The following is a 14,158-nucleotide window of genomic DNA, read 5'->3' on the forward strand; positions in this document are numbered from 1 at the left end:
GGACTTCTAGGGGCTCCGAGAGTTCCCTGAAATTAGAAACAAAATGATGTACAAATTTTCCTGGGGTGACGGCCCATCATCTTTCGGACTCTCAAAGGGATTATATCCCCACCAGAAAGCAAGTTTAAAATTGCTTATTTGAGTGTCTTTAAAGTATCCTCATTTTAATATTTATTCAATTTGAAACTTTGAAATATTGAACTACAAAATCATGTAAACTGTTCCAAGAAAAATATCTAACAAATCCCTAAACTTACACAACCATTAATTACAAACGTATCTGAGGACAAAAGCCAGTTACATTTTAATCCTCAAAGAATTCCTAAATATTTTAAAGAGATAGCTGCCCTTTTCCCCCAACTCAGAATATAGTGGAATGAAGCAGCAAGTTAAAATCATATTAGTAAGAAATTAAACTCCCAACTACTTCATTTTCTCACAGAAGCTCTCATTTTCATAGGGAAATTCTTCTGTATCAATGGCATTAGTGATTCACAGTATTTAATGAATGCTTTTTTGTCAATGAACCTCTGAAGCTATTTCCATATTCTGTGTAAAAAATAAATTATAAGCCCCAATAATGGATCATTATCCAAGCAAAATTCCCTATGAAAATACCAGTTTAATGAAGTAATTGGGACTATCCCTTGGGATTTAATGTAATTAGACTTTTCAGGTAATGCTAAAATATAAATAACAAACTTGACAGAATTGTCATTACAAACTGAATGTATATACCCTACTACATTTCGATGCGTGTCAGTACTCCAGCAGGTATTCTAGTACGCTTTCTTAAACCCAGTGAAACTCTTGCTGTGATACATAGTCTCTGTTTTCTCCTGCAGTAGATCGGCCTGCTCAATTGCTTTAAGGACATTTTTCTTGGATGTTTCCTGAACTTCCCCTCCCAAAAGAAACTCATCCAAAATAAAATAAGCCTTCTCAAAATTAAAGATGATATCTAGTTCACAGACACTGCCGAAATACTTGTCAAGTAATTCCACATAACGATGAATTATTTCCAGGGTAATTAGTTCATTGTCCTGATCCTCAATAGCACAGCAAAAATACAGACTAGCATATCTTTTGTAAACAATCTTCAGATCTCGCCACTCAAGGAAGCTGCACATTTTAGGTTTCCGTGCTAAAACGGTCTGAACAAGTTCTCTTGTGATCTTTTTCTTCTCTTTGTCCGATAGTGGGACATACCATTTTTGCAGTCGAAGCTTTCCCTGACGACTAAAAAGCAACATAAACTGCATGGCGGCCGCGGGCCGCGGGCGCGGCGGAGCTTGGCCGGTGGCGGCGGAGCTTGGCCGGCGGCGGCGGCAAAGGGGAAGCCCCTGTCGCCGTGCTGAGGAAGAGAAGCCGTGGTGCTGTGGGGAAGGGCCATGCCATGTCATTTCTATTTCTCATTCCATGGGTAATAAAAGCAGAACCAGCCTTCTGGTGGTCACAAAACATTTTGACATGAGAAAGGCTCATGATGAGCAATCTGGGAATGTACATCCCAGAGCATGCATGCCCTTTGACCCACAGCTACCATGATGTCATGTCTAGTAATTAGTCCTAAGGAGATCATCAGAGATATGTAAAGAAATTTCATTCTAACAGCATCCTCTGTAGTGTTATACATCAGGGGCTGGCAAACCATGTCGGGAAGAACACAGTCATGCCCATTCATTTACAAATTGTGTATGGCTTCTTTCCCTGCAACAGCAGAGTTGAGTGTTGCAACAGAAACCTATGGCCTGCAGAGTTTAAAATATCTACTCTTTGGCCTTTTTTTTTTTTTTTCTTTTGTGACAGAGTCTTGCTCTGTCGCCCAGGCTGGAGTGCAGTGGTGCGATCTTGGCTCACTGCAACCTCTGCCTCCCGGGTTCACGCCATTCTCCTGCCTCAGCCTCCCGAGTAGCTGGGACTACAGGTGTCCGCCGCCACACTCACCACACCCAGCTAATTTTTTGTGTTTTTAGTAGAGACAGGGTTTCACCGTGTTAGCCAGCATGGTCTGGATCTCCTGACCTCGTGATCTGCCCGCCTTGGCCTCCCAAAATGCTGGGATTACAGGCGTGAGCCACTGCGCCCGGCCTACTCTTTGGCCTTTTATGGAAAAAAGTTGCTGACTCCTGGTGAATATATTAAGAAAAAGTTGGAAAAACCTAAATCTTCAAGAGTGGAGAATTAGAAAGTAAGACACGTTGTATATAAGACAGATAGTGTGTGTGTGCATTTATTTGTAAATACATTGTTTGGAAGTAATGTTGTCAACATATGTTGCAGGTCTTAAAAATTGTTCAATATATAGTGTTAATCAACAAACAGGCAAATTATAAAATGTAGACAGAATGTGATTGTGCATTTTGTGCATACACCAACAGAAGAGGGTGCTAAGAAGCCTGTGGACCAACATGCTAAGTGTGGCTCTTTTGATGGTGGTATTATGGGATTTTAAAAATCCTCTTGGTTTTGTATAGATTCTGACCTTCCTGTAATGAGTGTGAATAAATATGTGTTTCTTTATAAATGTAAAAATAACTTTATCTTCCCAGTTCTCATAATTGAAAATGTTGGAACAAATGGTCCTGGGACAGATCTTTCCTTTGAGAAGGGCAGAGGAGGGGATTCAGCTGGGTTTCTGTTGCATTTCTAGTAACACACAGTTGTGAAAGGCCAGTGTTGGCCATTCCCCAGGACAGACTGGGGTAGAGGAGGTCAGGATTTAATTACTTGAGGGACCAGGGAATGGACGTGGCCACAGTCCTTCCTGACTCGCTGTTTTCCCTTCCACAGTCCCTGTCTTCTCCTCACTGATGCACATAGATGCCTGACCAGAGGAGAGATTTAGTTTTCATCCGAGGATTATTTGTTATGTTGCAGTTCTGAAATTCCCATAATGTTTAAACTAGAACACAAGTGATTTCATTATCTCTAATGTGTACGGCTTGATAGAAATATATTCCATTATGTATCACCTTAAATCCAGATAAAACATAAGGAATTTCTATTCCATGTTTGTATGATCAGTGCTAATAATATAAAAAGTCTAAAAAATAGCTATTTCCTATATTACAGTATGAAATAAATATGCTGAATGATTTGTTTTGGGGGGTGGAAAGGTGTAAGACTGAGGAGGGTGCCTGTGGGGAACAGTGATAGGAATCCTTTCTTAAGGGTTGGGTTTTACATATGTCTTTTAAAATAGATGATATCATTAATAAATTATCTGTGGGCATCATGAAAAAAGTGGATAATGTACAACTTTTATGAGCTTGACAGTTGGTGAAACGCTTTTCTGTTTAAAATTTTATTTGACCCTCCCCAAAAGAAATGTTTATTCATGAGTATTAGGGTAGTTCCAGTAGTAATGCCTCAAAAGAACCAGGAGGTATAGTGTTGTCTAAAATGTGGACTCAGGAGCCAGACTGCCTGGCTGTGCAACTAGCCTTGTCACTTCCTAGATATGTGGCAAGTTAATTAACTCCTCAGTGTTCTTATCTGTAGAATGGGGATAATCATAATATACATCTCAGGGTTATATTAAAAATTGAAAAAGTTAATTTTGTAAAGCATTTAGAATGATATCTGACAAATAAGTGTGTTTATAAAAGCAAACCCTATAAAAGTGTTTACTCATTAAATACAATAATCTGAAGCCATTAGTGATTTAAACACTTGTGGCTGACTTGATAATATTTATGAAAATAAATACTGTATTTATAATCTTTGACCTGGTTTTACTCCTAGGAGTTTATTGTACAGTAAACATTTTCACAGGCAGACAAAAATATTACTATAAAATCATGTTTATTACATCTATCTGTGCAAAAGGAAAAAACATTAGGCAAATAAAATGACAATCAAAAGTGGTATTAGTTAAATGAATTATAGTAAATCCGCTGATTAGTAATCATATAATCCAAAAAGAAGTAGGCATATTTATGTGATGTGGGAAGATCCACAACTAATGTTAAATGGTAAAACATATAAAATGTTATGCCCAATAAAATACTTTCTGTGAGAGAATATGTTAATTTATTCAAGTGGCACCAATGTGGAGGGTTTATGCTAATTTCATTATACCTCACAGACAGACCTGGGCTCTCCCACTCATTATCTATGTGGCCTGGGATAAGTCATTTAACTGCTGTAAGCCTCAGCTTCTTCATCTGTCAGGCAGTGATACCCTGACTACTCTGCAGGGTAACTCTGAGATTTAAACGTGATCATCTCAGAATATGCCTGGCAAACAGTAGGAGCTCAGAACTTGATGTTTTTTCCTACAGCAACTGCATGTCTTTTGGGGATAGCACTTAATGCATGAGGTTGGTAAATCCTTATATACATAAAATATTGTGAAAACATAAGTACGTGCTACCATTTTTTCAAACCTCTTTTTTTTTTTTTTTTTCCTGAGACAGAGTCTCACTCTGTTGCCCAGGCTGGAGTGCAGTGGCACCATCTCAGCTCAGCTCACTGCACCCTCCAACTCCCGGTTCAAGTGATTCCTGTGCCTCAGCCTCCCGAGTAGCTGGGATTACAGGCATGTGCCATCATGCCAGGCTAATTTTTTTTTTGTATTTTTAATAAAGATGGGGTTTTGCCATGTTGGCCAAGCTGGTCTCCAGCTCCTGGCCTCAGGTGATCCTCCTGTCTGAGCCTCCCAAAGTGCTGGGTCAAACCTCTTATATCCAGTAAAACAGCCTCACTGGGTCAATGGATATCATGTGGTTGCCTAACATTTTTACTTTATAAAAGGTCCTCATGAGGCCATTCGAAAGTATGAATCAAAACGCTTTAAGATGAACAGGGCCATAAGTTTGTATGAGGCTTCTCAGTGGACCTCCAGATGAAGACCAAAGTAATTACAATTTCACATTTCATTTGTGAACATGGCCAGCAGCTACGTTCATACATGAAACAGGACAATGACAACAGCACCAGGAATAGCTGCCCCTGGTCAGATGCCCTCATGAGCCCAGCTCCACAGGACAGGGCCACCAGGCCCTGCTTAGGGGAAAGCGGGGGCGGGTTTGTAGAGGAAGCCCAGCCAGCCAGCCAACCAGAGATGGGAAAAACCCATTGGGAAGAAGTTGCTTGCTCTAGCTGGACTTTGCAAAGAACAGGAAAAGATGAATCTGGACAGACAAATGGTCCTGAGTGGGGGAGCTTGGCCGTGAGCGTGACTCAGGATGTGGTCAGCAGCTGCCACACCAGGACACAAGATATGCAAAGATGCTGGGTGGTTGGTTCTTAAAGATTTTGTGCCTTGAGAAAACTAAAGGATGCAGACGTAGGCAGAAGGTGGCTCTTTAAAAGTGCTTCAGGCAAGGAGGCAGTATGGCATGGTAGAAAGTGGTCTGGTTTTTGAGTTGAAGAGACCAGCCTTGCCATTTATTTTTCAACAGATCACTTCACCTTCTGGGCCCTAATTTCCATGTCTGTGCAATGAGAATGACATTATACTTAAGATGTAACAGGAAATGAAAGCACAAGTATAAGATCTCCCCATACTTTCATCTCATCCACTCTAACCAGGGCTGACATGCATGATTTTCCAGGTTGTGCACTGAACAACTATGTCTGGTGGCCAGGATGAGTGGGACCATCATCCATCTCCAGTGTCATTTCTGAAGTGCTCCACCCTGGCACTGCCTACACCTAGAGGGAGGGACACTTTTCCTAAATAGGATACAGGTGCTGTCTGTTTACCCATGGGACTCTGTCTACTGGAAGGGGGCGTTTTTCTAATTCTCAAAGAAGCATCTTTTGAACTAGTGGTGGTCTTCATCCAGCCTGCCATGACTATCTGCATTCGAATGCAGGCTGTTTATACACACATTTCTCACCCTCTATAGAGTGGAGGCTATGGTTTTCCTGTCTGGAACCAACTACTCTTTAGTACAAATTGGGGACAATTGTAGGCATGAAAACCTAATGGGACTCTGTTTATTCTGGGAATAGGGTAGAGATGAATCCTGCCTGGGATGTGGGAAAGGAAGAAAGCCTTTGACTCATCCCTTTAAGAGAAGGGGCTTTTGGCAGTCTGGAGTCTTTATCTTTTCTGAGTTCCTGGCTGACACTGATGTTTTAAAGGCTAACACAATGTGGAAGTTCCAACTCCCAGGCTGACCATTAACTCCATCCCATGCCACAAGCACCCCAGGAAGCCAGGGTTGGAACCCAGAGTCAGGGAGAGGGGTGGCAGCCCAGGCTCGCAGGAGCCAGTTTCCTAAGCCTGGAGCATGTCAGGCAGAATCAGGCATAGCCTGTCCTGAGTGTGCTGGAGCTGGGCTGTCCTGGAGGTGAAGAATCATACACAGAAAGGAGCACCCGAGAAATGCCCTCAGGCTAGGAGGAGAAATCCACATGACTATTGTGGAAAGTGTGGGTTTTGGTGTAGAATTTTTACTCTTTGATGATTTGAGCACTTTTCATCACCATGGTGGGCCGAGGACCTGCCCCAGTCCCCAGATATTGCTCCAGACAATGAGTTCTGCAGCCTGCAGTTACTGTTTTCCCTCTTCAGCTGCTCTACTTGGGAGCCTGGCTCTGTTAGGAAGGTGCGGGCAACCCTGTTCCCCCGCCCTAGGATTGAACCAGGATGAAGACATATCCAGGAAAGCCGCTGTGGCCAGCCTGAGCGTAAGAGAGACTGCGACTCCCTGCCCAGTGGAAATACACTATACTGCAAGATGCCAAAATGAGCCACTTGAATCCTTTTTTTCGGGAAGTCAAAAGTACGGTGAGGCATGAGAAGAAGGATCTCCAGCTCCAAGTTGTTCTCCCTCTTGTGGCTGAACACACTGTTACCATATGCTTATGAAACCATTTGCATATGGTACAAGCCCATGTGGGAGAAATGAGAGCTCTGACAACTTCTACCTGTCTTCTGTCCTCTCCTGACAATGCATCTCCATCACTAATAGTGGCCTCTGGGTTTTACTTTCTTCTGTGCACAAAGAAAACAACTGGTGGCACCTGTACATAGAGAATTCCAGAGGCAGGAAACTCTCCTTACTTTTGGACAGTGCACAGCAAAGAGAATGTAGTTGGAAGTTCAGCCAACCTGGATTGCAAGCCACCTGGAGCAACATGGCCTTACATGAGTCACATGACTGCTGGGAGCAACTCTCTAAAAGAGAGTGGTGAAGAAACCTAGGTCATCAGAAGGTTAAATAGAATAACGTGTGTGACTGGGCAGAGCACACAGAAGGCACCAAATATGTGTTTTTTAGATTCTTTCCCAAATCTAGGAGGTGGAACTTAGCAATAAAATGCCTTAAAACCTAAAAAAAAGTTATAAAAGTGCATTCAAGGTCATGGAAAAATATACATTAGGTATAAAAAGGAAGGTTGTAAATGTATGTAAGATGTAACATAATAACTAGTTTGCACACACCCTTACAAAATAAAAGTTCTATAAGGATATGCACCAACCGATTTACTATGGCTAACTCTTCTAGGTTCTAGGCGCTCCGACAGGTTTCTGTTGCATTTCCCAGTGACCATGACCCCTAATCCCCTAAGCCCCTAAGCCTCCCTCTTTTCTGCTCACAGAGAACTGATGAGAGGAGAGACTCAGCTCAAAAGTGTTAAGTGAATGAAGTCATTTCTTAAAATATTGGGTTTATAGTTTCCTTTTTTTAAAAATAAAACAAACGATATAGTTTATAAGCTTTTTGCTAGAAAAATAATAAAATCTTATTTAAAAACATATACTGTTAACATTAATGAGATATTTTCCCACTTAAAATCTCATTTGATACTCCCATCAAATAAGATTTATTCTTTAGGATTTGAGTAATTCTGGGAATAAAGCCTTAATAAATCAGGAAGGACAACATAGTCATTAAGTGCCTGGGCACTGCAGACCCTGGTTTCCAAACCAGCTACTTTCTGTCTGACTTCTGCCAAGTTACTTTGCCTCTCTGAGCCAAAGTCTTCTCATGTATGAAACAGAATCATTACAGTTCTCCCCTCAGGATGTCATGAGGAGTCAAGGTCTAGGAGCAGTACCTAGCACAGCACAAGCACGATGTAAGTATTTGCTAAGTGAATGAATAAAAATATGATGATCTTTTATTATGCTGCCTGATTTGGTAATATGTGTTAGTAAATGTTTGTAACTAATTTTATCATCTCACTCTTAGGAATTTTAAAAAATCACTTCTAGAGGTGTACAAAAACACTTGCATATGATCCTGTTCATTTCAGCATTCTATGCAAGAACAAAAAATTGCAAACAATTAAAGTGTTCACTAAAGGAATGTTGGTTAAATAGATTACAGTAAATTCACTTAATGAAGTATGACATAGTCCTTTAAAAGCATGAAGTAGGTAGATTTATAGGTTGATGATAGAAGTATCTATTCACAATTATTATTAAATGAAAAAATATGTAATAAAATGTTAGGTATAATATACTTTATATAGCATTAACACAGTATCTGTGAATATTTTCAAATACAGTCCACAGTGGATATTTCTCTCATGCTACACAGACAGATCAGGGTCAGGATCTTGGCTCTGCCCCTTATTAACTGTAGAACTCTGGGAAATTCATTGAGCCCCTTGGAGCCTGTTTCTACATGTATAAAGTGGTGATAATATCAATTATTCTGCAGAGTTGTTTTAGGTTTTCTTTTCTTTTCTTTGTTTTGTTTTGCCTTTTTTTTTTAGATGGAGTGTAGCTCTGTTGCCCAGGATGGAGTGCAGTGGTGCGATCTCAGCTCACTGCAACCTCTGCCTCCTGAGTTGAAGCCATTATCATTCCTCAGCCTCCCGGGTAGCTGGGATTACAGGCATACGCCACCACACCCAGCTAATTTTTGTATTTTTGGTAGAGATGGAGTTTCACCATGTTGGCCAGGCTGGTCTCGAACTCCTGGGCTCAAGTGATCCACCCACCTTAGCCTCCCAAAATGCTGGGATTACAGGCATGAGCCACTGTGCCCGACCCTATTTCAGGTTTAAATGCCATAATCTCCATGAAAATCCCTAGCAAGCAGCAGGTACTCAGGGTGGTGTTTGTTCCCACAGTGACTGTATGTATCTGGGGGACAACACGGGTAATGCATGAGATTCACAAGTCCATATGTAACCCACACATTGTCTGTAAAATTAATAAGTGATGTGTTACTCTTTTCAAATATAAGTAGAGACTGCTGTAAATAACACAAACTCCTATTAAGTGACATTACTGAATCCATTAGGCGTGTAGGCAGATACTTTATTACTACAAATTTAGCTATCTTATGAGTAATTCAATGTTTCTGATGTTTTAAAAGGGCCCTCATGAGGCAATTTGAAAATATGTCTCTAAAGCCTTAATATTAGGCAGGACCCTGGGCATTGAATAAAGACTTGTTTTGAGGTCCACAGAGAGGAGACACAAGGTCACAAGATGGTCCCATGGCCAGCAAGTGGCAGAGTCCAGATCCAAAGGACGTCTGTCTGACTCCAGACCTCAGGATCTTAACCCCCACACAATAAAACAAAATGTGTAGATGCAGCTAAAGAAGAGCTCAGATGGAAATTTATAGCATTTGATGCTTATTTTAGAAAAGAAGGAAGGCTCGAGTCAACAATCTAAACCTCAGCTTTAACAAACTAAAGAAAAAAAAGGGCAAAATAAACCTAAAACAAGCAGAAGGAAGGAAGTTTTGGTAAGTTAAAGAAGCCACTCTCAAAAGGTTACATATTGTATGAACACATGACATTATGGAAAAGGCAAAGCTACAGGGACAAAAAACATCGGTTGGTGGCCAGGGATTGGGGTGAGGCAAGGATGCCACGACAGGGAGCATGAAGCAGATTTGTGGGAGTGATCAAACTGTTCGGAACCTTGATTGGGGTGGGGCAACAAAACTCATAGGGCAGTATACCCCCAAATAGCCTTTTTATTAAAATGATAATCTCTCACTGTTTGGAATCCTGATTGGGGTGGGGTTACAAAACTCATGGAGCGGTATACTCACAAACAGTCTTTTTATTAAAATAATAATCTCTCTCTCACTCTCTCTCTCTCTCTCTCTCTCTCGATCTCTCACACATACACACATGCACGCACACAATGTTTCTCACCATGCAGGCTGTGTCTGTTCACCACTGCCAACGGTATGCCAGGTATAATAAGACTAAATATGTTTTTTTGTTGAATTAAAGCCATTCATTCAAAATGAATCACTGGTACCCAAAAGATGGGGTCTAACTTATGTTTAATTATAATGGGAATAAGTAGCACTTATTGACTGCTTTTTAATTTGCCAAGTACTGCCAAAGATTGAGATGCATTATTCAAATGCATTTATAACTCTTAGATCATTCGGTTCTTTATAATGGCATATTTCGTAGCCATTTCTATTTCTTGAAATTTCAAGTCTTTTTGGTTTTTTTGATTCTTTTGGCAAACTTTCTTAAAAGTACAAGAGCCCAAGTTGCACAGGTAAATAATAGCAATGTAGCGGAATGACCACCAGATGGAGACAGAGAACACAAAGTTATTCAGACGCAAGGTTTTTGCCAGAGTTGTTTCCCAGGCTCAGGAGGCACAACACCTGGATATGAGGTTGCTCCCATTAGGACGCTGGTTCTCAAACCTGGCTGCTCATTAAAATCACCTGGGGACATTTACACTACTGATGAACAGCCCCCTTCACCCCACCCCTGAGTTTTGTGGTCTGGAGTACGGTCTTGCCACTGAGAGTTTTAAAAGCTGCACAAGTGATTCTAGTTGCAGACAAGTTTGAGAACCACTACTTTCAAACATGCAACAGTGGAGGGTCTCGAGCTGGTGTGTTTCAGAATCATCTGGGGAATTCGTGAAAAACAGAGACTCAGGCTGTTGTAGCCTTCATTCTTTTGAGAAGCAGTGTATTCTGAAATGATGACATGCTAAACTTAACAATAGTTAAAAAAAATAATCAGTACTGAATCTGATACAAGGCCAGGTGTGGTGGCTCACACCTGTAATCCCAGCACTTCGGGAGGCCAAGGTGGGAGGATCGCTTGAAGCCAGGAGTTCAAGACCAGCCTGGTCAACATAGCAAGATCCCATCTCCACAAAAGAAAAATTAAAAAATTAGCTGGGCATGGTGGCACATGCCTGTAGTCCCAGCTACTCGGAAGGTTGAGATGGGAGGATGGCTTGAGTCCAGCAGGTCAAGGCTGCAGTGAGCTGAGATTATGCCACTGCACCGAGCGTGGGTGACAGAGTGAGACCCTGTCTCAATAAACAGATAAATCAGATACAGTCTCATACTAGATTCTTTTCCAAACTGGGACAGCGGGTTTCCTCTCCAGAGAAGTATAGGCCACACATGCTGGCAGGTGCTGGAAGAGTTTCTAAAGCCATGTTTGGTTGTTCCATTTTGGGGTGTTAAGAAAAAGGCCACTCAGCCCGGTGGATTCCCAGCCTTCATGTAGTCTACTCCCCAAATTTGTTTTCACTCTCTTTTATCAAAGTGTTTAAATTATTTTATTTATTTTAATTTTTAATCTGATTTTTTTTTTTTTTTTTTTTTGTAGAGATGGGGGACTCGCTATGTTGCCCAGGCTTGTCTCAAACTCCTGGTCTCAAGCCATCCTCCTGCTTTAGCCTCCCAAATTGCTGGGATGACAGGTGTGAGGCACTGTGCCCAGACTAAATTATTGTAATATTACAGCTATTATGGATTCGGTTTCTAAATAACATTTGTTGTTTTTCCATATCATAAAAGTAATGAATCTCCATTGTGGAACATTTGGAAAAAACAAAACAAGACACACATGTAAGAAAAAATGACCTATTCTCCTGCCACATGGAGATAATCACAGTTATTTTGATATGTTTCATTATAGATTTTTTCATGATATGTGTACGTATGTATGGGTATACACTCTTAAGTGTGTGCTTACACGTGCTCCAAATGTGTGTGTGTGCACATGTGCACAATCCAATCTACATCGTGGGGAATCTACAAAGTTGTGGTCACAGTGTAGAGCCAGCCCCACAGGCCTCCCCAGAGACAAGGCCCTGGACTGCCCCCAAGTCCTCCCGAAAGGGACATCTGTGGTGGTGGTAGGGCCAGGATGCCATGAGCAACCACCTGGAGGCCCCGAGTACTCAGCGTGAACCAGGTAGTGGAAGGGAAGGGGAAGGGCAGAGTGAGAACCAGGAGGAATGCTTGCTTTTCTTTCCAAGCACAAGGGACCACTTTCTCCACTGCAGCTGACCTGATGCTTATGCCGGGAAGGAGGAGGGGCAGACTCCGTCCTCCAGGTCCCTCAGGAGGGGAGAAAGGGACCAAAGTGGGAGACTTGGGTCTGAGGTCTGAACTTGACCCTGCACCCGCATCGGTTTCTCTGGGTGGGGGTTGGGGAGGGAGCAGGCAGCCGAGGGCCCTCACCCACTGCAGGGTCTTGTGGATCACGAGTGATCCTGTAGTAAGTGAGGGTTTTGTTCACGTGGTTCAGAGTGTTACGGAGAGCTTTTGTTCTAAGCTTATTTGCCTGGAGAAAGGAAAAAATGATCTTATTAGCACCAAAGGGTGTGGTAGACAGAACGATGGCCCCCAGAGATGGCCACGTCCTAATCTCCGAAGCTGTGAATATGTTATTGACGTGGCCATGGGGAACTGAGGCTGCAGATGGGGTTAAGGTTGTTAATTAGCTGACTAATTAGGGAGATTATCCTAGACTGTCTGGGTGGCCCAATGTGGTCACAGGGTTCTTAAAAGCAGAAGAAAGGACAGAGAAGAGAAGAGTGAGATGTCACCAAGGAAGAAGGCCAGGGAGATGCAACCAGGCCGGCTGTGAAGGTGGAGGAATGGGCCACCAGCCAAGGAGGGCGGGCGGCCTCTAGAAGCTGGAAAGAGCCAGGAAATGGGTGGAATCCCCAGGCTCCAGAAGAAACGCAGCCCTGCCGACACCTTGACATTAGCCCAGGGAGACCACTGTCAGACTTCTAACCTGCAGAGCGGTGAGATAGTAAGTGTGTTGCTCTAAGCCTCTAAGTTTGTGGTCATTTGCTGCAGCAGCCATAGGAGGCTCATCCAAGGAGGATCCCAGCTCCAGCCCCTGGTGCCCTGGGGTGGGTTCTGCAGGACACCTGGTGTGGAACTGGAGTCTCCTTCCCAGGGCATGCCCTGCCTTTGCGGACTGTCCCCTCTGCCTGGAACCCATCCTGGCCTCAGGCATGCTCGTGCAGTGGCCTCTCTGAGCGGGAGTATTGCCACCACTCCTTCCTCCTGTGCCAGCGACTCTGAGCTCCGTGTCTGACTCAGTCTGATGCCCGCCACCCCGGCCTAGGTTTGGAGGTCAGGCAGCCCGGGGTTTCAATTCCAGCTCTGTGGCAGCGTCAGGTTCCCCACCGTGCAAAGGACACAGGAATCCCTCTCTCGCACTGCTTTCAGGAGCTGGTCTACAAGGAGACTGCTCTTTATAAAACACCGGGGAGAGTCCCGGGGACTTCCTACAACAGGCCCTGCCGGCTCCAGTCCCACGAGTTAGGGGTCACTGAGCTCCCGCATTGGGCACACTTCCCTGGTTACACTCACTCTTGGCTCTCACATCCCTGAGCTCCACCTGCAGCATAAGGACACCCAGGCCTGGTGCGGGGAGCCATTTCTTCCCCAGGAGTAGGTGGTGGGGCACTGCCGTGTCTCCTACAGCCCTGCCTTCCCCAGAGAAGGCGCAATGTTCCCTTCTGGGGTGGTCCTCCTGGACTGCGGTGGGCCCCAGGCATACACATTTAGGTCCCCAAGTCAACTCAGACTCTGCCCTGTGAAACTAAAAATAAAGCAACACTGAAGTGTAGGATGCACAGAAGGAAGGAAGTCTAAGAAGTTCTGATTTTTCATGGCTCAAGGTCACCTTGATGCTTTTATTTAATAGCATTTTTTTCTCTCCTCTCCTAGATACACTGTTGTGCTGGTGCCTTAAGTGCATTTGTGGTTGGCCTCTTGGCCCATCTCTCATGGGAATGAGGATTCTGTGGTCAAATACATTGGGCAGATGCTGCCTACTTCATCCCCCTTACTGAGAGTCGAGGAGCAGCCCATCAGCACATTAAAGGCTCTGGTAAGTCCTACAGTAAAGAAACTGGTTTAACAATGTTTTCCAGTGTGATCTGACCACAGTCTTTGTTTGCACATCATAGTAACCTCCAGCTGAGAAT

The 14,158-nt window shown here is 43.2% G+C and overlaps 1 pseudogene across 1 annotated transcript, besides 2 other annotated features; it reads right to left on the bottom strand.

Moving 5' to 3' along the window:
• Window positions 1-359: 359 nt before the first annotated feature.
• On the bottom strand, window positions 360-1,519 carry LOC653653 (adaptor related protein complex 1 subunit sigma 2 pseudogene; annotated as a pseudogene). Its single transcript, NR_027408.2, has one exon. The product of NR_027408.2 is annotated as an adaptor related protein complex 1 subunit sigma 2 pseudogene (transcript).
• Window positions 11,715-12,663: an enhancer, noted in NCBI's record as "H3K4me1 hESC enhancer chr17:58190476-58191424 (GRCh37/hg19 assembly coordinates)". NCBI's record gives its function as "activates a minimal SCP1, AML or CMV promoter by ChIP-STARR-seq in primed H9 embryonic stem cells {active_cell/tissue: H9 hESC(primed)}" and the evidence as "EXISTENCE:reporter gene assay evidence [ECO:0000049][PMID:30033119]".
• Window positions 12,664-13,610: an enhancer, noted in NCBI's record as "H3K4me1 hESC enhancer chr17:58191425-58192371 (GRCh37/hg19 assembly coordinates)". NCBI's record gives its function as "activates a minimal SCP1, AML or CMV promoter by ChIP-STARR-seq in primed H9 embryonic stem cells {active_cell/tissue: H9 hESC(primed)}" and the evidence as "EXISTENCE:reporter gene assay evidence [ECO:0000049][PMID:30033119]".

Source organism: Homo sapiens, chromosome 17 (genome assembly GCF_000001405.40).
Source record: "Homo sapiens chromosome 17, GRCh38.p14 Primary Assembly".
Lineage (NCBI taxonomy): Eukaryota > Metazoa > Chordata > Mammalia > Primates > Hominidae > Homo > Homo sapiens.